Source organism: Homo sapiens, chromosome 4 (assembly GCF_000001405.40).
Source record: "Homo sapiens chromosome 4, GRCh38.p14 Primary Assembly".
NCBI classification, from domain to species: Eukaryota; Metazoa; Chordata; class Mammalia; order Primates; family Hominidae; genus Homo; species Homo sapiens.
This window is the reverse complement of record NC_000004.12, coordinates 98,899,971-98,921,381: the sequence shown is the minus strand read 5'-3', so window position 1 is coordinate 98,921,381 and position 21,411 is coordinate 98,899,971. Positions and strand designations below refer to the sequence as shown.

Sequence of the window (21,411 nt, the reverse complement as noted above, 5' to 3'; positions counted from 1 at the left end):
AATATTGTAACTAATTTTGATATATATGTCTACATATATATGTCAACATATTAGTATTGCCGTGAAACTTCTTATGGGGCAGTAAGCCTATGTTGGCACAAAATCTGGTCAGAAGTATTAACTAAGGCAAGAAAGTTTGATATTTTAATTGATATGTGAAATGTATATTTTTTCTTATAGTTCTTTTTCTGATGAATAAATGAATACTTTATAGGTGAGGAATTCATATTTCAAGTGATTTTTAACTTTCTACCACGGTCACATAGTTCCTTAAGTGTTACATACAAAGTTTTGGTGCCGCAAAAGGAATAGCACTTGAATATAAAATTTTTTTTTAATTTTTAGCAAGGCAAGTTATTTTTATAGAACTCATAATTAACATAAGTGAGAGAGAACTCAAACCTGAGTGTCAAGCTTTATTACTATCTTGTGTAAAAAGAGGAACAAATTCAACCAAAACTAAAGTCCATCCTTCAGTAAAACTTGTATGTTAGGGTTGATACTGATGCGTAGGTACACAAATAAGTGTAAAATTCTAACTGAAAGAATATGCCAGATGGTTTATGGATGGTGGGATTAGGAGGGTTAAATTTTTTTCATTTGAACTTGTATACTTTGTTACCATGTTGTGGATTGTAAAATCTGTTTTGGATGTTGGTTTATACATCATGGTATTTAGCTTTTCTTTATTTTTTGTTTTTTTTCTTTGACTTAGTTACATACTCATGGTCCAAAATAGCAATTTGGTAAAGCCTATAGCCCCTATCTTAGAGTGTTTTAAAATGCAGGCCAGGCACAGTGGTTCATGCTTGTAATCCCAGCACTTTGGGAGGCTGAGATGGGCGAATCACCTGAGATCAGGAGTTCGAGACCAGCCTGGCCAAAATGGTGAAACCTTATCTTTACTAAAAATACAAAAATTAGCCGAGCGTGTTCATGGGTGCCTGTAGTCCCAGCTAAGGCTGAGGCAAGAGAATTGCTTGAACCTGGGAGGTGGAGGTTGCAGTGAGCCGAGATGGTGCCATTGCATCCAGCCTGGGCAACAAGAGTGAAACTCCGTCTCAAAAAAAAAAAAGAAAAAAGAATGTTTTAACATGTATTACATAAAATGCATAGGTTTACAAAGGAAACCAATTTATACTGAAGTACAACAAGGATTGAATTAGCATGAGTCATATTAAGGACATTATCTGGCACAGGCTAAGTTCTGTCTAATGTGGAAAACCTATCTCCTGCCTATCTTCCCCAACCACCTCATTCCCCTTTCCAAATTGCCCAATTACAATTTTTTGAGGATTCTACTAGAAAAAGTCTGTCCAGGAGAACTTTCTGAGATAATGGAAAGGGTATTTTTTACTGTCCAATACAGTAGCCACTGGCTGTACATGGTAATTGAGCATTTGGATATTGTGGCTTGTGCAACCAAGGAAATAAATTTTAAACTTTATTTAATATTAATAATTAACCACATGTAGGTAATGGCTACCTAATTGTGCAGTATGGCCTCAGAAGCTAGAAATTCTGGCCGGGCATGGTGGCTCACGCCTGTAATCCCAGCACTTGGGGAGGCTGTGGCAGGTGGAGCACTTGAGGTCAGGAGTTGGAGACCAGCCTGGCCAACATGGTGAAACCCCATCTCTACTAAAAATACAAAAATTAGCTGGGTGTGGTGGCACGTGCCTGTAGTCCCAGCTACTCGGGAGGCTGAGACAGGAGAATCACTTGAACCTGGGAGGCGGAGGTTGCAGTGAGCCAAGACTGCACCACTGCACGCCAGCCTGGGTGATAGAGCAAGACTCCATCTCAAAAAAAAAAAAAAAAAAGAAAAAGAATCTAGAAATTCTGGTGTGTGCAAATGTATGTATACATATTGTATTTAGTTCAACTTTATAAGGTATAACTGGATATGTCCAGTTTGGTTAGATACATGATTCTATCCTAGAAAAGCTTGTCGCTCTGTATTTTAAACTTTGAAAGATAGTTATTTACTCTTGTATAGAATTAGAATTTTTCTGTGGGTTAATGTTTTTTTTTGTTTTTTTTTTTTTTGCTAGTCTTTTTGTTTCTGTTTTTGTTTTGAGATGGTGTCTCACTCTGTTGTCAGGCTGGAGTGCAGTGGCACGATCTCGGGTCACTGCAACATCCACCTCCCGGGTTCAGGTGACTCCTGCCTCAGCCTCCTGAGTAGCTGGGACTACAGGTGTGCGCCACCACTGCCAACTAATTTTTGTGTTTTTAGTAGAGACAGCATTTCACCACGTTGGCTAGGATGGTCTTGATCTCTTGACCTCATGATCTGCCTGCCTCAGCCTCCCAAAGTGCTGGGATTACAGGCATGAGCCACCACACCCAGGCTTTTTACTAGTTTTTTAAATGTGTGTGTAAATAGACAGTACTTTACAGTGTTCAAAACTCAAGTTTTATGCAAAAGTACACAGTCTCCTGAAGCTGATCCCTATCCAGGCAGATGACCTAGAGGCAACCAGCATTGTCAGTTGTTTAACTTTTAATAGAGATTTGTGCATATACAGCAAATATGTATATTTATAAAAAGTAAATAGTAGCCAGCTATGTGCACTTTTCTGGCACATTGTGTTTTTTCACTTAATATGTCTTGTAGAGCATTACATATCAACACATAAAGTTTTCACTTCTTTTTTCTGATGGTATATGTTACACTATTTGGTTTTAACATAATTATTTCTATATTAATATTTAGGTCATTTCCAACCATTTGCTATTTCAAACATTACTGGGATAAATAAACTTTTCCCTGTATCATTCCATACACGAGATAATATATCTATAAAGTAGATGTTTTGACAACGGATTGAAAAATTTTAAACCCTGTTGGTCAGATAAAACACTTTTTCAAATATAGTTGGTTTTCAGGCTGCAATTTTTTTTTTAGTGCTCCTCCCTTTTTCAAAATAAATGTTTATATGTAAAAACAAAGTATAAAATAGGTATGTACGTTTTCTTTTATCTTTAATTTTTTTTTCTTTCTTTTTTTTTTTTTTTCCAAGACGGAGCTTTGCTCTTGCCTAGGCTGGAGTGCAGTGACAATCTCGGCTCACTGCAACCTCCGCCTCTTGGGTTCAAGCAATTCTCCTGCCTCAGCCTCCCGACCAGCTGGATTACAGGCGTCCACCACCACATCCAGCTAATTGTTTGTGTTTTTAGTAGAGACAGGGTTTCATCATGTTGGCCAGGCTGGTCTCAAACTCCTGATCTTAGGTAATCCACCCACTTTGGCCTCCCAAAGTGCTGGGATTACAGGCGTGAGCCACCACACCTGGCAAAAAAAAATTTTTTTGAGACAGGGTCTCACTGTTGCCCAGACTGGAGTGCAGTCTCTGCTCACTGCAACCTCCGCCTCCCACGTTCAAGCGATCATCCTGCCTCAACCTCCCAAGTAGCTAGGAATACAGGTGTGCGCCACCACGCCCGGCTAATTTTTGTATTTTTAGTAAAAACGGAGTTTCATTATGTTGGCCAGGCTGGTCTCAAACTCCTGGGCTCAAGCAGTCCTACTGCCTTGGCCTCCCAAAGTGCTGTGATTACAGGTGTGAGCCATCACGCCTGGCCAGGTTTTAGAGTAGTAAACTGAAGACACATGTACCATGACCTAGGACACCACAGCAGCATTTCAGCTTTTTTAATACTCCCGTGATCACATTCTTGTATCTTTGGCCCCTCCTCCATCTTCTTTTCTGACTTTTGAGTCAAGCATTCCCTTGCTTTTTGTTTTTTCTACATTAACCTCCCATGTATGTATCTTTCAGCTATGTGTTGTTTAGTTTTGAAAAAACTAAAAAGCTAGATGTTTAAGGGAAAGATGGTATTGCCACTATTGGATGAAGGCTCATAAAAATGATAATCTGAACACAGTTTTTGGTTTATAGTTTGGCTTCAGCTTCCTAGAATTTCTACTAGAGCCCTTTTTCGGGAAACCAGTGGGCATGATCATGGACATGTCCTGGGAAACATAGGATTTATAGTTGTTATCTGGTGAGGCTGTTTTGTGGGCCAGGCAAAGAATCTTCAGTAAGAGAGTGGTCTTTGGGAATATGCTGCTCTGTATCTTGTTTTAAGATTGGATTAAAGCTGAACTCTTCTGGTGTAAAGTTACCTAATACAGTTAGCAGGGCATAAAGGAGAGAAGAGGAACTTCATGAACACATGGTCAAGCAGAATTAAGTAGAGATAAAAGTCTGGGCTGGACACTTGAGCATTTGGGTTTTTTTTGTGTGTGTGTGTGTGTGTGTGTGTGTGTGTGTGTGTGTGTGTGTGTGTGTTTAGAAAAGGTAGAATAATAAAAATAGGCATTTTAATCATAGCAGCCATTAAATCACATTGCTCCAGTCACATTCACCTGAATCACATTGCTCCAATCTGGACTGCTGCCCTTTATATATGGTAAACATTTGTCTTCCCTGGATCTCCTTTTACCATGTTCCTGATTCTTTCATTTGACTTTTGTGTTCCACCCTTCCATTTGCTGTGCCCTTTATCTTCCTGTTATTTGGTTTCTTATCTCACGTTGGTGGGCCAGATCTCCAGCAGTTTTTTGAGAAAAAGTACATAGTAAAAAAATTTTTGAGGCCTTGAATATTAAGTGTCATACCTGTAGTTTGGCTGGACATAGAATTCTTCAGGATTCTGAAGTCAAGTTTCATGGTGGACTTCTGTTGTAGCTGCTGATGAGTCTGAAATTATTCTGGTAGCTAAAAATTATTTTTTAGTGTGACCTGTTGCTCTCTCACCCTCACTCCCTATAATTTGTAGATTCTTTTTCTTGTCCTTATTTCACAATAATATACCTTAGTATAAGTCTGTTTTCATCCATTGTACTGTGTACTCATTGGGCATTTTTAATATGGCCACTCATGTCCATCACTTCTCATAGGTTTATTGGTAATTCTCCTCTTTTTTCTCTTTGAAACAGTTACTCAGATATTAGATCTCTTGGACTAGTTCTCTGGGAAATTTCATTTATTTTTCAACCTTCATTTTAAGTTTCCATTCATTTTGAATTTCCAGGTATTTATTTTCTCCCTCCCATCCTCCTTCTCTTCCTTTTTTTTTTTTTTTTGTCCTCTGAATGTTCATTTTTATAGCTTCCTGTAATTGTTATATACATGCAAAATCTTAACTTATTCCTTTGAGGAAGTACGTAGACTTTTTTTTTGAGACAGAGCCTCACTCTGTTGCCCAGGCTGGAGTGCAGTGGCACCATCTTGGCTCACTGCAACCTCTGTCTCTTAGGTTCAAGTGATTATCCCACCTCAGCCTCTCGAGTAGCTGGGATTACAGGTGCCCACCACCATGCCCAGCTAATTTTTATATTTTTAGTAGAGACGAGTTTTCACCATGTTGGCCAGGCTGGTCTCGAACTCCTGACCTCAAGTGATCCGCCCGCCTCGGCCTCCCAAAGTGCTGGGATTACAGGCATGAGCAGAAGCAAAGTTTTAAGAAGGAAGAGCAAAGGTGACTGGGGAACTTACTGTACCATGAAGAAAAGTATTATTAAAGATAACGGCCAGGCGCAGTGGCTCACGTCTGTAATCCTAGCACTTTGGGAGGCTGAGGCAGGTGGATCACCTGAGTTCAGGAGTTCGAGATCAGCCTGGCCAACATGGCGAAACCCCATCTCTACTAAAAATACAAAAAATTAGCTGGGCATGGTGGCGGGTACCTATAATCCCAGCTACTTGGGAGGTTGAGGCAGGAGAATTGCTTGAACCTGGGAAGTGGAGGTTGCAGTGAGCCAAGATCACGCCATTGCACTTCAGCCTGGGTGACAGAGCAAGACTCTGTCTCAAAAAAAAAAAAAGTAATTTACAAAAATATGATATTGGCTGTTGGCCCATGAGGGGATGGGCAGATTATTGGAATACACTGAGCAGTCCAGGAGTAGTTTCAGATGTTTATTTGGGCTTTAATATAACTTTGTTATAATACATTTTGAACATTTAGATCATTGTGAAAAAATAATCTGTAATCTCAACAACTAGGTGTTCTCTGGTAATATTTTGGTTCACTTGTTTGTGAACTTCTCTTTTTTTTTTTAACCATATCCTTCTTCGTACCTTTTCTTTTTCCCTTTTAAATACTTAATTTTCGGCCGGGTTTGTGTGCGTAGCTCATGCCTGAAACCTGAAGCACTTTGGGAGGCTGAGGCAGGTGAATTGCTTAAGCCCAGGAGTTCAAGACCAGCCTAGGCAACATGATGAAACCCTGTCTCTACTAAAAATATTAATACAAAAAACTAGCTGGGTGTGGTGGCATGTGCCTGTAGTCCCAGCTACTCAGAAGGCTGAGGCGGGAGGATTGATTGAGCCCTGGAGGTCGAGACTTCAGTGAGCTGTGATTGTGCCACTGCACTCCAGCCTGGGCATCAGAGCGGGACCCTGTCTCAAAAACTAACTACTTAATTTTCTTAGAGCAGTTTTAGGTTCGGAGCAAAACTGAGCAGAAAAGACAGTTCCCGTAACTTACTCCTTGCCCCGGTGCAGGTACAGCTTTCCCAGTGTCAACATCCTACAACAGAATGGCACATTTGTTAGAATTGATGAACCTAAATTGACGTTATTGTCACCCAAAGTTCATACTTTACATTAGGGTTCACTCCTGATGTTGTACAGTCTGTGGGTTTTGTCAAATGTAAAATGACATGTATCTGCGGTTATAATATCGTGCAGAATAATTTTACTAAGCCCTAAAAATCCTCTGTTCTGCTTGTTTATACCCTCCCCACCAACCACTGATCTTTTTGTCTTTTCCAGAGTGTCACAGAGTTAGAATCATACAGTATGTAGCCTTTTCAGCTTAGCTTCTTTCACTTAGTAATATACATTTAAGTTCCTTCTACGTCTTTTTATGGCTTGATAACTCATTTTATTTTAGCATTCAGCAATGTTTCATTTTCTGGATGCACTACAGTTTATTTAGGACTTCTTAAAATAGGTCAAAAGCAAAAAAAAAAAGTGCTTTTTTTTTTTTTTTTTTTTTTTTTTTGAGACGGAGTCTGGCTCTGTTGCCAGGCTGGAGTGCAGTGGCACGGTCTCAGGTCACTGCAACCTGCAACCTCCTCCTCCTGGGTTCAAGTGATTCTCCTGCCTCAGCCTCCCAAGTAGCTGGGATTACAGGCATGCGCCACCACGCCTGGCTAATTTTTGTATTTTTAGTAGAGACGAGGTTTCACCATGTTGGCCAGGCTGGTCTTAAACTCCTGACCTCGTGATCCGCCCACCTCGGCCTCAAAGTGCTGGGATTACAGGTGTGAGCCACCGTGCCTGGCCTTTTTTTTTTTTTAAGTGCTCATTTTTATATGGTTCTGTAATCTGCTTTTCTCCACATTTGTATTAGTTTTAAAGTAATTTTTACAAACATGTTTAGTGCTTACATCATAAACGCCGTGGTTTGTTTATCTGTTACCTTTTGGTTATATCTGTTGATAGATGTGTTGTCTCTTAGAAGTCTAATTACTAGGTTAAAGAATGTAGATGTTTTTATTTTAATTTTATTATTTTTCTATTTTCCCATTTAGTTTTGGCTTGGAACTCAGTAGATCCTTTTACGTTTGGAAGCTTGATAGTTTAACTTAAATTAAGTAAAACTTAAACTAAGTAAATAGAAGGTTGTATTCCACTCTGTAATCCTGGGAACATATGAAACTGATGACTATACCTGGTTTTGTAAATTTTTTTAAGGTATATATTTCTTCAAAATATTTTCTTTTGAAAGGTGATTTTAAAACCTTGGTACATAAAAAGGCAGGTGTGGTGGCTCATGCCTGTAATCCTAGCAACTTCGAAGGCTGAGGCAGGAGGATCACTTGAGGCCAAGAGTTTGAGACCAGGCTGAGCAATATAGTGAGACCTGTCTCTAAAAATTAGCTGGGCATGGTGGCTCATGCCTGTAGTCCCAGCTATTCAGTATCGTCTCTTGAGCCTAGGAGTTTGAGGCTGCAGTGAGCTGTGATTGCACCCCTGCACTCCAGCCTAAGTAATAGTGATACCCTCCTCTGAAGGCAAGAAAAGAAGAAAAAAAAAATTTGTTGGATAAGAAGTTGTTACAGAAAACAAAATGACCTTATTAAAGCTACAGTTTACATTGAAATTATAACCTTTAACTTTTGAAAATGAACACATAGAATTTTTTTTTTTTTTGAGATGGAGTCTTGCTCTGTTGCCCAGGCTGGAATGCAGTGACACTACCTTGGCTCACTGCAACCTCTGCCTCCCAGGTTCAAGCAATTCTCCTGCCTCAGCCTCCCACGTAGCTGGGATTACAGGCGCGTGCCACTACACCTGGCTAATTTTTGTATTTTTAGTAGAGACGCGGTTTCACCATGTTGGACCAGGCTGGTCTCGAACACCTGACCTCAGGTGATCCGCCTGCCTCGGCCTCCCAAAATGCTGGGATTACAGGCGTGAGCCACCACACCCGGCAAAACACATAGAATTTTAACAGTAACTGCTCATTTGTTTGAACTGTGACATGTAAAGATTGATTTTTTTAAAAAACTAGAATTTAGTATCATGAAATTTTAGTTATGTTTTCTAAGTTTTAAAATGTATAAACGTTTAAATAGCAGTTAAATTCTTTAAAAGATTTGCCTTTCAAATACTTCTTATAAAGCTTTAAGGAATAATTGAAATGGAAATTATCATGTTACTGCAGTCAACAGTTTTGTGCACTGGTTGTAATGCCATTTTAGTGTTGATATATTTTGAATCATTTTTTTACTTTTGCATAATGTTCAACGTATGTAAATTTTTCTTTTCTTTGTGGTTTTTTTTTTGAGATGGAGTCTTGCTTTCGCTATGCTGGAGTGCAGTGGTGCGATCTCAGCTCACTGCAATCTCTGATTCCCTGGTTCAAGCGATTCTCCTGCCTCAGCCTCCTTCGTAGCTGGGATTACAGGCATGCACCACCACGCCCAGCTAATTTTTGTATTTTTTAGTAGCGGCTGGGTTTCACTATGTTGGCCAGGATGGTCTCAATTTCCTGACCTCATGATCCACCCGTGTTGGCCTCCCAAAGTGTTGGGATTACAGGCATGAGCCACCGTGCCTGGCCGTATGTAAATTTTTCTTTTTCTTTTTCTTCTTTTTTTTTTTCGAGACGGAGTTTTGCTCTTGTTATCTAGGCTGGAGTGCAGTGGCGCGATCTTGGCTCACTGCAGTTTCCCTCTCCCGGGTTCAAGTGATTCTCCTGCTTCAGCCTCCCAAGTAACTGGGATTACAGGCATGCGCCACCATGCCCAGCTAATTTTGTGTTTTTGGTAGAGATGGGGTTTCACCATGTTAGTCATGTGGGTCTTGAACTCCTGACCTCGTGATCCGCCCGCCTCGACCTCCCAAAGTGCTGGGATTATATGCGTGAGCCACTGTGCCCGGCCTGTAAATTTTTCTAGTTATTTTAAATTATGAATCTTCTGGTAGCCTTTGGTTTAAATAGTAGTGACATTTAAATTTTATCATTAGCCTTGTCATCCTAGATCACACATCTGTTATTTCTTGTGTCTGTGTTATCACCTCCCCAAACCCAGACTGAATTTGTGATGTTGGCTTAAGCTATATAATATGTGCAAAGTAATTTGATCAGTAGGTACATGTTAGTGCTCCCTTAAGAATGTTCTTTAAAAAAATTTATTTTAAAATGTTAAAAGGTGACCACAAGTCTTCTTTTTTTTTTTTTTTTTTTTTTTTTGAGACAGAGTTTCGCTCTTGTTGCCCAGGCTGGAGTGCAGTGGCTTGATCTCAGCTCACTGCAACCTCTGCCTCCCGGGTTCAAGCGATTCTCCTGCCTCAGCTTCCCGAGTAGCTGGGATTACAGGCGTATGTGCCACCACGCCCTGCTAATTTTGTATTTTTAGTAGAGATGGGATTTCTCCATGTTGGTCAGGCTGGTCTCAAACTCCCAACCTCAGATGCTCCACCCGCCTCGGCCTCCCAAAGTGCTGGGATTACAGGTGTGAGCCAGTGTTCCCAGCCTCCTACAACTCTTTCTAGTAGTTAAGAATGTGCTGGGCGCGGTGGCTCACACCTGTAATCCCAGCACTTTGGGAGGCCGAGGCGGGTGAATCACGAGGTCAGGAGTTCAAGACCAGTCTGGCCAAGATGGTGAAACCCCTGTCTGTACTAAAAATACAAAAATTAGCCGGGCGTGGTGGCAGGCGCCTGTAATCCCAGCTACTTGGGAGGCTGAGGTAGAGAACTGCTTGAACCCAGGAGATGGAAGTTGCAGTGAGCCGAGATCGCGCCACTGCAATCCAGCCTGGGCAACAGGGCAAGACTCTGTCTCAAAGGGAAAAAAAAAAGGATTCATCCAAGTTTTAGGCCTGGTGCGGTGGCTCATGCCTGTAATTCCAGCACTTTAGGAGGCCAAGGTGGGCGGATCACTTGAGGTCAGGAGGAGTTCAAGACCAGCTGGGCCAAAGTGGTGAAACCTCGTCTCTACTTAAAATACAAATAATTAGCCAGGTGTGGTGGTGCATGCCTGTAGTCCCAGCTACTCGTGAAGCTGAGGCAAGAGAACTGCTTGAACCCAGGAGGTGGAGGTTGCAGTGAGCCGAGATCATGCCACTGCACTCCAGCCTGTGTGGCAGAGTGAGAATCTGTCTCAAAAAAAAAAAAAGAATCCATCCAAGTTTTAAAACTGTTTATTTGAAGATCAGAAATGCAAGTGTAGACTGTTGGGATTTTTTTTAATTAATAAAATGTGTTCAAGTATAGCTTGCTGAGTATCCAGAAATGTAAATATTTAGCTATAGCCCAACAAACTTAATCAGCTCTATTCACTCATGAGTTAGTGCTACTTATTTTGATCAAGTATTTAGGTTATTATTTAAATAAACAGCTATTGAATTTTTGTAGTATTTTTGGACACTGCACAATTTGTACACATCATCACAACTCTTTAGTAATCCAGTTACTAGTGATTTTTTGTTATTGTTTAGTTGCCATTTTATATTAATTGAAAAGCACTTTAAGAAGTACTGTCTTTTGAATCATGATTGATATATGATGTCTCAGGGACTTTTACATGAAAAAATTTTTTCCATGTGAGCAGTGTTTTAATGTTGAAAGATTTGTATTTTGCTAAATCTCCATGTGTTTTTTATTTCAACTTTCTCGGTTAAGGGAGGAGTATAAAAGTCATAGTTTTGATCCTTTATTACAGATAAGGAAGACTGCAAAATCCACAGCCACACTTTCATGAGTGATGCCAGATTAGCTGGTATTCCTTTACTGTAAATAGATGTTTGAAAGCTAAAAACCAAAACAGTTTAATAGCCTGAGGCAGTTTTTCAGTGTTTTCACCAAATTTTTTATTTCTTACAAGACAGGTGGTAAGACTATATTTGTTCTTGTGTACTAGTTAATTAATTATACTAATTTACATATTTGAGGGTGCTGTGAGGAAATGCATGGTTTGTTGAAAAGAACTGAGGACTGACAGCCGCCTCCTCCATGATTACCCTGGCTCTCTGTCCCACCCTTCTCATGGCGCTTGGGGGACCATGGCTGATCCTGTCCTGAGACAAATTAAGACTCCTGTGGTGAAGCAGTTGGTCGAGAAAAAGTGATGCATGAAAAAGAAGCAAAACAAGAAGGAAAGAAAAAAAATGAGAGCTGAAGATGGTGAAAATGATGCCATTAAAAAGCAGGCAGAAAGTCTGCGAGAATCCCAGGTGATAAGCCTTGTTTGCCAGCACAGGTTGGAAGCTGCATATACTGTTCTTTGGCAGATTTTAGAAAGTGAAAAGGACTTGGAAGAAGCTGAGGAATATAAAGAACATTTAGTACTGGATTCAGTGGAGTTAGAAGCCTGAAACTTTTATGTACAGGGTGTTTTTTGCATTAAATCATGGGGTCCAGTTTACATTTCATTATTTTTGACCACTGCTGTGTGTTCAAGTGTGAGAACGTGATTCTTTTTATGTGATTGTGTACATTTCTTTGCCTGATTTAATTTGTCAAATGAATGACAAAACTGAGAACTAACAGTAGATACTACAAGGAACAGAAACGTATGAAGTCTGTTTACATATTTGTATTAAATAATGTTCTCATTAAAGTTATTTGTACACATAAAAGAGGTTTTTACTTACACTTACCTGTATATGTGAGATATTTGACCAATGGGTATTTAGTGTCCTGCTGTGCATAATAATACAAACTCACTATATAGTTGCTTTTTTTCCTGGTAGTGGGTTTTTTTGTGTGTCTGGGAGGAAGGGTGAGGTGTACCATTCATGCCTTTTTTACTAGTTTATTGGCAGTCACATGCATTGGCAAGATGAGCAAAGGTGTTGAGCCTGAGGCTGTAGAACAGAGCACAGTATATATTATAGATTTATGTTGCCTAGAAAGAGAATCTTTGTAACCATATAATTTATTATTCAGTCCTGGCCACCTTTGGGAGTGAGAGTTCTGTTAACAATTATACTGAAACAACAAACAGGTAGAACTAGGACATGTGGTGTTCTTAGCCGTAAACCCTGGTAGTCCTGGATTTAAATGACATGTTTACTTTTCCAGGACTTCAGATTTGTCTGAAGAGTGGAGAGAATAATGGTTGTTTCACGGGATTATGAAGATTGACTATATTGAGATGATTTATAGTATGTTGAGATAATATGTATGAAAATAATGTAGCACATGGCCTGGTAGTTACTGCTTAGTAAATGTTCCCTATCAAGTAAAAACTCATAGTTTGGATGAGGTGTGAGCTTTTCAAAATCATAAAGCACCATCCTTTTCTGTTCTTACTGTGTCTGTCCTTCTGCTCATTATTTCATACCTTTATTTAATATAGTGACTTCAATTTACTAGAATGTTGTATTAGTACCTTGTAGAAATAATTGCAGCTGTCTTTGCCATATGTAGCATTTACATTTCTAATATGGACACAGCTGGTTTTCCAGTTCAGCTACAGAAAGTGAAGGAAGGGGTAATATAAGGAAGCACTACTGGATATGAGTCACCAATCATGTTGTTATCCATTATTTGGTGCTGTAGCATTGACCGAACACGTTTATATTTTTGTGTCATCAGGAAGGGGGAGAGTGTTGGTATCAGAATTATTTAGGTGTGGTAACAGTAATCTGGGTAATTATTTCTAACTTAATCACGAGTTCTTTCTCTTTTCATATCCCTACTTACTGTGTGTATGATTGGGGGTGGGGTGAAGGTGGGGAAGGTCTGGTGTAAGGATCTGAGGATAGATAGAAATTATTGAGCCAGGACAATAATTTAGAGAGCATACCCTAGGTAGTTTAGGTTACCACTCCTTGTTCAGATATTACTGGGATATGAATGTTAGTGATTTATCTTCTATTGTTCTTAAAATTTTTTCCTCATCTTAAAATTTAAAGGACTGGAACTTCTCCAGAGTTTGAAGTCTAGTTCAGTATGCCGCATTTACTCAGCTCTTACCTTTCTAAACTCTTACATTAATGTCATCTCAAGTACTGATTGCTCATGGTAGCCGACAGTTATGGATCACTTCAGTGCCAAACTCTTGGATTGTTGATGAAAACCCACACGGCACTTTTTACAAGGGAAGAAACTGATCCTTACAGGGATTTTAAGGACTTACCCTAGATCACTTAAATCCCTATGGTACTCTGAAAGTTTTCTCCTATCATACTCATCTTAAGACTTAAAGGACTCATCAAGTTGGGGTTAGAGGTGGATCCAGGCTGTCTTGTTGAGCTACCCATTTTGCAGTATGGCTCCTAGTGCATCAGGGACTGATAAACCTGGGATTGCTTTTTCTGTTATGAGAGGAAAACTGTAGTAGTGAAGTCAGAGCCTGATATATACAGACTGTCAGTTGCAGCATTATTTGGAAGCACAGAAGATGGTATGTGAATAAATGTGCCTGATATAGAATGTCTTTCTCCCTCTAGCCCCCTTTTTTGTGCCTTTTTTGATGCTTGATTTCAATGTCCTTTATGCTGTTCCTTGGTAATAGATAGTTGCAGCTCAATGCTATATTTTAGCCATTCATGAGGCCAAAGATATGATGCCTTCAGTACAGAAAAGGGGAAATAGGGTATCTGGGAGTACCTTTAAAAGTAGGAAAAGTAGGTTTCCTTACTTCAATTTACTTTAAAATGACTTTATATTGCATTAATCATTATTGTTCTGGGAGGAATACCTATATCTACATATATCAGAAGGAATTTAGGAAGGAGGAAAGTGATAAATATAATTTAAAAAATTTTTTTCTTTCTAAAACAAATCATATGAAACAACTCAGCATAGTGGCTGGTCATATAGTTTGCTCTGAATAAATACTTGGAGAATGGCAAGCCAGGTAACCATTCACTTAACATTTTTAGCTACTTTATAAAAAGCAACCCTTATTTTGCATTTCCCATGTATCAGACAGTTTAAATGCTTTTATTTTTTAATTCATTTAATCCCCATTGTGATCCTAGGAGATAAATGTCACAATGCCCATTTTAAGATGAGGAAACTGAGGCCACGGAAGTTACTTGCTCTGAATTTTACAGCTGTGAATGGCAGAGCTGGGATTCCAACATGGGGAACATGGCTCTAGAGGGTGTGATCAGAAGCAGTGCATCTCATATTCTGATGACAATCTGGTTTGTGTTTGTTTTTAAAGTTTCATTTCATTTAATTTTTTAGAGACAGAGTCTTACTCTGTCACCCAGGCTGGAATGCAGTGGTGCTATCATAGCTCACCGCAGCCTTAGAACTCCTGGACTCAAGTGATGCTCCTATTTTGGCCTCCTGGGCTCAAGAGATTCTCCTGCTTTGGCCTCCCAAGGTGTTGGGATTACAGGGATGAGCCACCATGCCTGGCCTTTTTTTAAAAATTTCTAATATAATACTTTTGTAAAATGATAAAGATGAAGACATGCATACAATATGTAAGCCTGAATTTGATTAGTTTCAGCAGATACAAAATTGTCAAATTGCTACAGATTTTCAAAGTGTTTACTTTGCATTTCTATACTTAACCTCACTGTCAACCATAACCAGTTTGTGGACCAGCAGTAGTAGTCTGTGGACTATACTTTGAGTTACTGGTTCAAACCATTATTAGTGCCAAGAGGGACTACTGATTATTCCATACTTCAAATAAGGTGTTGGGTGATTTGTCTTAACCTGGAAAAAAATTTTTTGGAAGTTCCTGTGAGTAAGTAGATATTTGTTGAATGAAGGTAATGGAGGACACAAATGGGGTATTCTGAGGGGAAAGGCTCATCATTATTTCTAGAAGTGGTTTATATGTATATTTAGGTTGAGAGTTGCTGAGAAATCTTGAATGTTCAAAACTATGGAAAAGCACATCATGGTTTTGGAATTTAAGCAATGTAGACTTGAACATGATGAGGAGAACCTAAAGTTTAGTCAGATTTATTGAAAACACCACAGAATGATGCTAGATCTGGGAAATATTTACCTCTATAATATTAGGATTGTCCTGTAAGATTAATATTATACCTGTGCTAATTTTTGCAGAATGTAGTAAAAAGCTACCTGACATTCTTTGCAGCCAGTTGTTAGACTTTTCTCACCCTTGCTTGCTTTTTTTCTTCGCTTTCAACTTTCTCTTGTTGCTATGACAGTTTATTCAGCCCTGGGTTTGCTAAATTACAATACTGAACATTTTTATTTGAAGCTGATAAACTCAGCAAATCTTAAACCAGGTTTAATACTTTGCTCTCAAATTGGTTATCTTTTTCTCTTCCCTCACTTGCCATTTGTATTTAATCTCTTTGACCTTCTAGTTAATGGCTTTCATTGCCCCCAAGATGAAAGGTACACTTTTAGCCTGACCTTTGAGGCCTTTAACAGTCTCACTCCAACCTACCATTCTAGCTCTTTGGTTTCATGAACCCTCTCTTTCAGCCACATTGGTCACTACCTGGATGAACACAGCACCATCCCATGGCCTCGCTCTTACTCCCTATTCTACCCACCTAAAATTCGTTACACGATGCTTTTTCAAGGGAAGATTGCCTATTTTAGGGTAAAAATGTGTTTGACTACTTTGAGATTAGCCATAATCTGCTAAATTAGCCTTTACTTTTTTGTCCAAGTAGTTTATAAACCTAGAAATACTGGTCATTTAATTTTTTTTCCTTTTTTTTTTTTTTAAATTCCCTGATAGAACCTGAGATCGGTCATTTAGGATGTAATTTCCAGTGAAATTTGCTCATTGAGAGAACACTAGCCTAAGAGAGTAGAGAGAGGAATATGGTAGGATTTTGCAGTAGAGTTTTGTTTTTAAACTGAATGTAAACTTAAAACTATTTAGTGTCTATAGGAAGCAATCTTAAAAATAAGGTTAGATACCTTAAAATAGAACTTGTTTCTTGAAATATTTTTTAGTTCCCATATAGATCATACGAAAAGATGACTGTCTATGCCCAATAAAAATTTTTATGGTATTTCACATCATTCGTTTTAAAATCTAGTATGTTTAAAAGTGAAGACTAAAGATTTTAAATTAGTATACTTACTGATTCATACATACACACATATTTAAAAATGTGTAGCTCCTTTTTTAAGTTGTTGGAAAAGTACAAAATCATGTGTCCTTTTTTGTTTTGTTTTGAGACTGAGTTTTGCTCTTGTCGCCCAGGCTGGAGAACAGTGGCACGATCTGTGCTCACTGCAATCTCTGCCTCCTGGGTTCAAGCAATTCTCTTGCCTTAGCCTCCCCAGTAGCTGGGATTACAGGCGCGTGCTACCACGCCCAGCTAATTTTTGCATTTTTAGTAGAGATGGGGTTTCACCATGTCGGCCAGGCTGGTCTTGAACTCCTGAGCTCAGGTGGTGCACTTGCCTTGACCTCCCAAAGTGCTGGGATTACAGGCGTGAGCCACCATGCCCGGCCGATTATGTGTTCTTGATATGAAGACTATAGTAATCAGTTACTTACAGTGGGACTTTTATTTTAATTCAAAATAACACTTTAAAATTCTAGGAACTGAATATGTTTTTCCTGAGTGATAACTTGCTTTTAATTCCTGTATGTCCAAAGACTTGAGAGAGAGAGAGAAAGAGGATTGTTTCTTTTTCTTTCTTCCCCTTTCTTCACTGGGTCTCACTTGCTGAGGCTGTTTTCGAACTCCTGGACTCAAGCAGTCCTCTCGCCTTGGCCTCTCAAAGTGCTGCAATTACAGACATAAGTCCCTGCACCCGTTCTGCTTACGTTTCACAAATACTGGGCAGTTGCAAGTTTTGGCTTAGCTGTTCTTCTCTGTTAGGCCAACCAGAGTTACGCTCTGAAAGTGCCAGTTTAGGAGTTAGCCAAAAACCTGTGAGGGATTTTTACATATATTGAGGAGCCCACTTCTCATCTACAGCAGTTTTTCTCTGGTACCCTGTCCCCCAAAGCCTACCTGCCTGCCAGTCTCTCATTGTTTTCATCGAGACTCCCACTGTCTGCCTGGAAACCCATCATTAATTTTAAGCTAGTGGGATAGGAAATGTCATTCAGTAATTATCTGTTTGAACACTTAAATTTACTGGTAAGTAAATGTTGATAAAAATGTTTGGTTTTAAGGCATTACTTACTGTATGTCAATTTTCAGGCCTTAATCATTCTGTGTAAACATTTAAATTTATTCAGTTAAGTAATCAAGTTAATAAGTTCCTGTTGGGTTAAGTACTGTGATTATTGAGTAAAATCAAGACATGGTCTCCGTTCTGGGTGACTTTATAGGCTAATAGAAATTCTTGTACATGTCATATGTTGATAAGAAAAAACATATCCCTTGGGAGGCCAAGGTGGGAGGATTGCTTGAGCTCAGGAGTTTGAGACCAGCCTGGCCAACATGGTGAGACCTTGTCTCTACTAAAAATAAAAAAGAATTAGCCAGGTATCATGGTGCCTATCTGTAGTCCCAGTTACCGTGGAAGCTGAGGCAAGAAGATTGCTTGAGCCAGGGAGATTGAGGCTGCAGTGAGCTATGAGTGAGACCCCATCTCTAAGAAAAATAAAATACAAAAAAAAAAAAAACCCATATTCTTTCAAATAAATATTTACCACCTTTCTGCTCTGCATTCTTTTAGACAATAAATATTTGACTTACATATCTTGTTATGTTAACATAGATCTCTGTTGTTTGCTGCTTCAGTCTGATATCCAAACACTTGTTGCATTGCCCTTTTTTTGGTATCAGTCTTTGTCCTAGTGCCTTTCTTTGGCTCTCTTCTTTTGTTGACAACAATTTATGATAGTATGAAGAGCTACATGGAAGAATGTGGTGAACACCTATTTTAAATTACTGCCCCCAGACTACTTTTCTTTCTGATATTTTTAGATGACAGTGTTAATTTTGTCTAGCCTAAAAGAAGATTTAAGTTCAAGCCAATGTCCATCTTGTTAGGTTCCATTGAAAATATTAAGTTGCCGAACTTTTAGGTTACGATAGGGTAAACAGTATGCCATGAAGGTAAGACCTGCGCATCATTGGCTTGATCACTTTACAAAGCTTTTTTGTCATCATAATGTTGTTTTGTTTTGTTTTGTTTGTTTTTGAGACAGGGTCTTGCCGTGTTGCCCAGGCTGGTCTCAAACTCCTGGGCTCAAGCAATCCTCCTATTAATCCTCCTATTAATCTCCCGAGTAGCTGGGATTGTAGAGACGCACCACAGTGCCCAGTGATACAGTTGTTATACTCTTGAAACTTTAGTTTCCATCCTGTATCCTTCCTGATACCCCCTTCAGTACCATATGCAGTATCTTAATATGATGGTATGTTAAGAAAGATAGAAGATTTTCCCAACTTTGTTGCATAGTCTGTGACAGTCTTCCTGCTATTTAAAAAAAAAAGTGCAAGTGGAAGGATAACTATAAATACTGTTATATTTTCAAATTTGAGAAACCGTTTGCTCTTTGCTCTTAATGAAGAGATATGAGAATAGAGAATGGTTCTTTAGAGTTTGGTCTGTGGTCTGTTTTATGAAGCAATCTGCTTTAATTCCTTCTTCTTAAAAAATACTACTAGTGCCGGGTGTGGTGGCTCACGCCTGTAATCCCAGCACTTTGGGAGGCCAAGGCAGGTGAATCACAAGGTCAGGAGTTCAAGACCAGCCTGACCAACGGGGTGAAACCCCGTCTCTACTAAAAATACAAAAATTAGCCAGGCATGGTGGCACACATCTGTAATCCCAGCTACTTAGGAGGCTGAGGCAGGAGAACTGCTTGAACCTGGGAGGAGGAGGAGGTTGCAGTGAGCCAAGATCGCACGACTGCACTCCAGCCTGGGCAACAGAGAGAGACTCTGTCTCAAAAAAAAAAAATTATCAGCATATCAGTTCAGGTTTAGTTAGAATATTGCTGTCATAGATGTGTTAAGACATTTAAAATAATGTTTTATATTATTTTCCACTAGGAAACCACCCCTACTCCTAATCCCCCGACTACAGAAGAGGAGAAAACGGAATCTAATCAGGAGGTTGCTAACCCAGAACACTATATTAAACATCCCCTACAGAACAGGTAAGCTTTCTAACACCTAGGTTTTCTGAGTTAGGCCACAAGGTAAATTGTGAATGGGGCAAGTTTGAAGGGAAAGTTAGATTATGAGACTAGTTTTAGATATGCTAAGGTTGAGGGTTCTATTTTCACTTGGATGACCCATGACCAGCAGACAGTTTTATGTGTGAGTCTTGAGTTCAAAAGGAGCTATGTGAGAGATTAGTTTGAAAAGTATTGGTCATAATGGAAGCCACATTAGTAAATAAGTTCCCTTAAGGAGAAGTGAACTTGACTCAGGACAAAGACCGGGGATACTAGCATCATATAGGAGGCTTTTGTTGAAGAAGAATGCCTATGAAGGATGGACATACAAAGACAGTGGTGGTCGCCCAACGCGGTGGCTCACGCCTGTAAACCCAGCACTTCAGGAGGCGGAGGCGGAGGCGGAGGCGGGCGGATCACCTGAGGTCAGGAGTTTGAGACCAACCTGGCCAACATGGTGAAACCCCGTCTCTACTAAAAAATACAAAAATTAGCTGGGTATGGTGGCAGACGCCTGTAATCCCAGCTGCTCGGGAGGCTGAGGTGAGATAATTGCTTGAACCCAGGAGGTGCAGGTTGCAGTGAACTGAGATCGCGCCATTGCCTGCCAGCCTGGGCAACAAGAGCGAAACTCCATCTCAAAAAAAAAAAAAAGAGACAGTGGTGGTCATGGAAACCAAGAAGGTGGTTTATTCTAAGATAGGGTGGTTTACAGCACATGTGCTAAAAAGGTCAAATGAAGCAAGATGTCAAAATATCCATTGGATTGAACACTTTTAAAAAAGTCCGTGCTGACTTGGGAAAAAGTTTTTTAGTAAGGTTCCATAGAGTAGTTCCATAAAACATGGAAAAAGAGATTAGGGCAGTTTGAAGAGTGAATAGGAGATATACAGATGTATAGAGTAAGAACAGGTGACTTGAAGTTGGACTGAGAATGAGAAACGAGAGCCAGGGAATGTGGAGTTTGAAGGTTGGTTGGTTTGTAAGTGAGAGACTAGAAAAGGGGACAGATTAAAATTAGTTAAGTTTTCATAGTTAATAGTGTAACAGGAAATTGAGTATTAGTTCATTATATGGCTTTTCCCAACTCTTCCCACTCCTTTCCAGTAGGTTTGTTTTTATTTATTTTCTGGGGTATATGAGAATTAACTTGAGTTCACTGAATGCTGATGGTGGGAAGAAAATGGCAGTTCAGAAACATTGTAACAATCTAGAGGAAAGTAAATTGGAATTAACTTCTGAGGTTCTTGAAGTATTTCAGTTCATTTCTTGTCTTTTTTTGTTTTTATTTACTTTTTTTAGGGCAGACCATTCACTCTCTACTTAAAAGAGTCCACAAGTCTATTTATAATTGTTTCATTTATTAAAATTTTTTTATGATCTCAATTTTTTTAAATGTTTCCTTTATTCATCATGGAAGACCTACTGAAATAAATAGTTCAAATATGCTGTATGCAGTTTTCTCATAGGAGACCCTTTGGTTCAGTATATCCTCCAGTGAGGAACAAATCAGTTTTTTAGACAATGGAGATTCTCAGCTAGTGGGACATCAGAGGTCAAACAGTCTATAAAGGATAAAATCCTTCCTCAGGGAAGCAATGTACCACATGTATTAGGTTGAACAATTCGTTAGAGGCAGTCTTATATAGTTTAACCTAATAGTAGCACCAAAACCCACATTTTTTTTTCATTTTTTTCAGTGATATGAAACAAACTGTATATCTTCTAGCTGTCTGTGAACCTAGTTCTTGGTGTCACTTTTATTGTGGGGAGAAGTAAACAAGGCATATATCCCTCACAGCTTGAATGGAGTCTAAGAAGGGATTCTTAAGTGTCCTCATCAGTTTAAAAAAAAAAAAAAAGTTTAAATCTTAAAATGAAGTC

At 39.2% G+C, this 21,411-nt stretch overlaps 1 protein-coding gene and 1 pseudogene across 4 annotated transcripts in view; both read left to right on the top strand.

Moving 5' to 3' along the window:
• The window catches only part of EIF4E (eukaryotic translation initiation factor 4E), a 49,858-nt gene that overhangs the window by 7,752 nt on the left and 20,695 nt on the right, over positions 1-21,411 (top strand). For 3 of the 4 annotated variants that reach the window (NM_001968.5, NM_001130679.3, NM_001130678.4), the window contains exon 2: positions 19,400-19,506. In NM_001968.5, coding sequence (NP_001959.1) covers positions 19,400-19,506 — 107 coding nt within the window. Of the gene's footprint in view, positions 1-11,422; positions 11,705-19,399; positions 19,507-21,411 lie in introns of all 4 variants that reach the window. The other variant, NM_001331017.2, reaches the window with a different exon arrangement.
• TBCAP3 (tubulin folding cofactor A pseudogene 3) lies at positions 11,479-12,001 on the top strand (annotated as a pseudogene).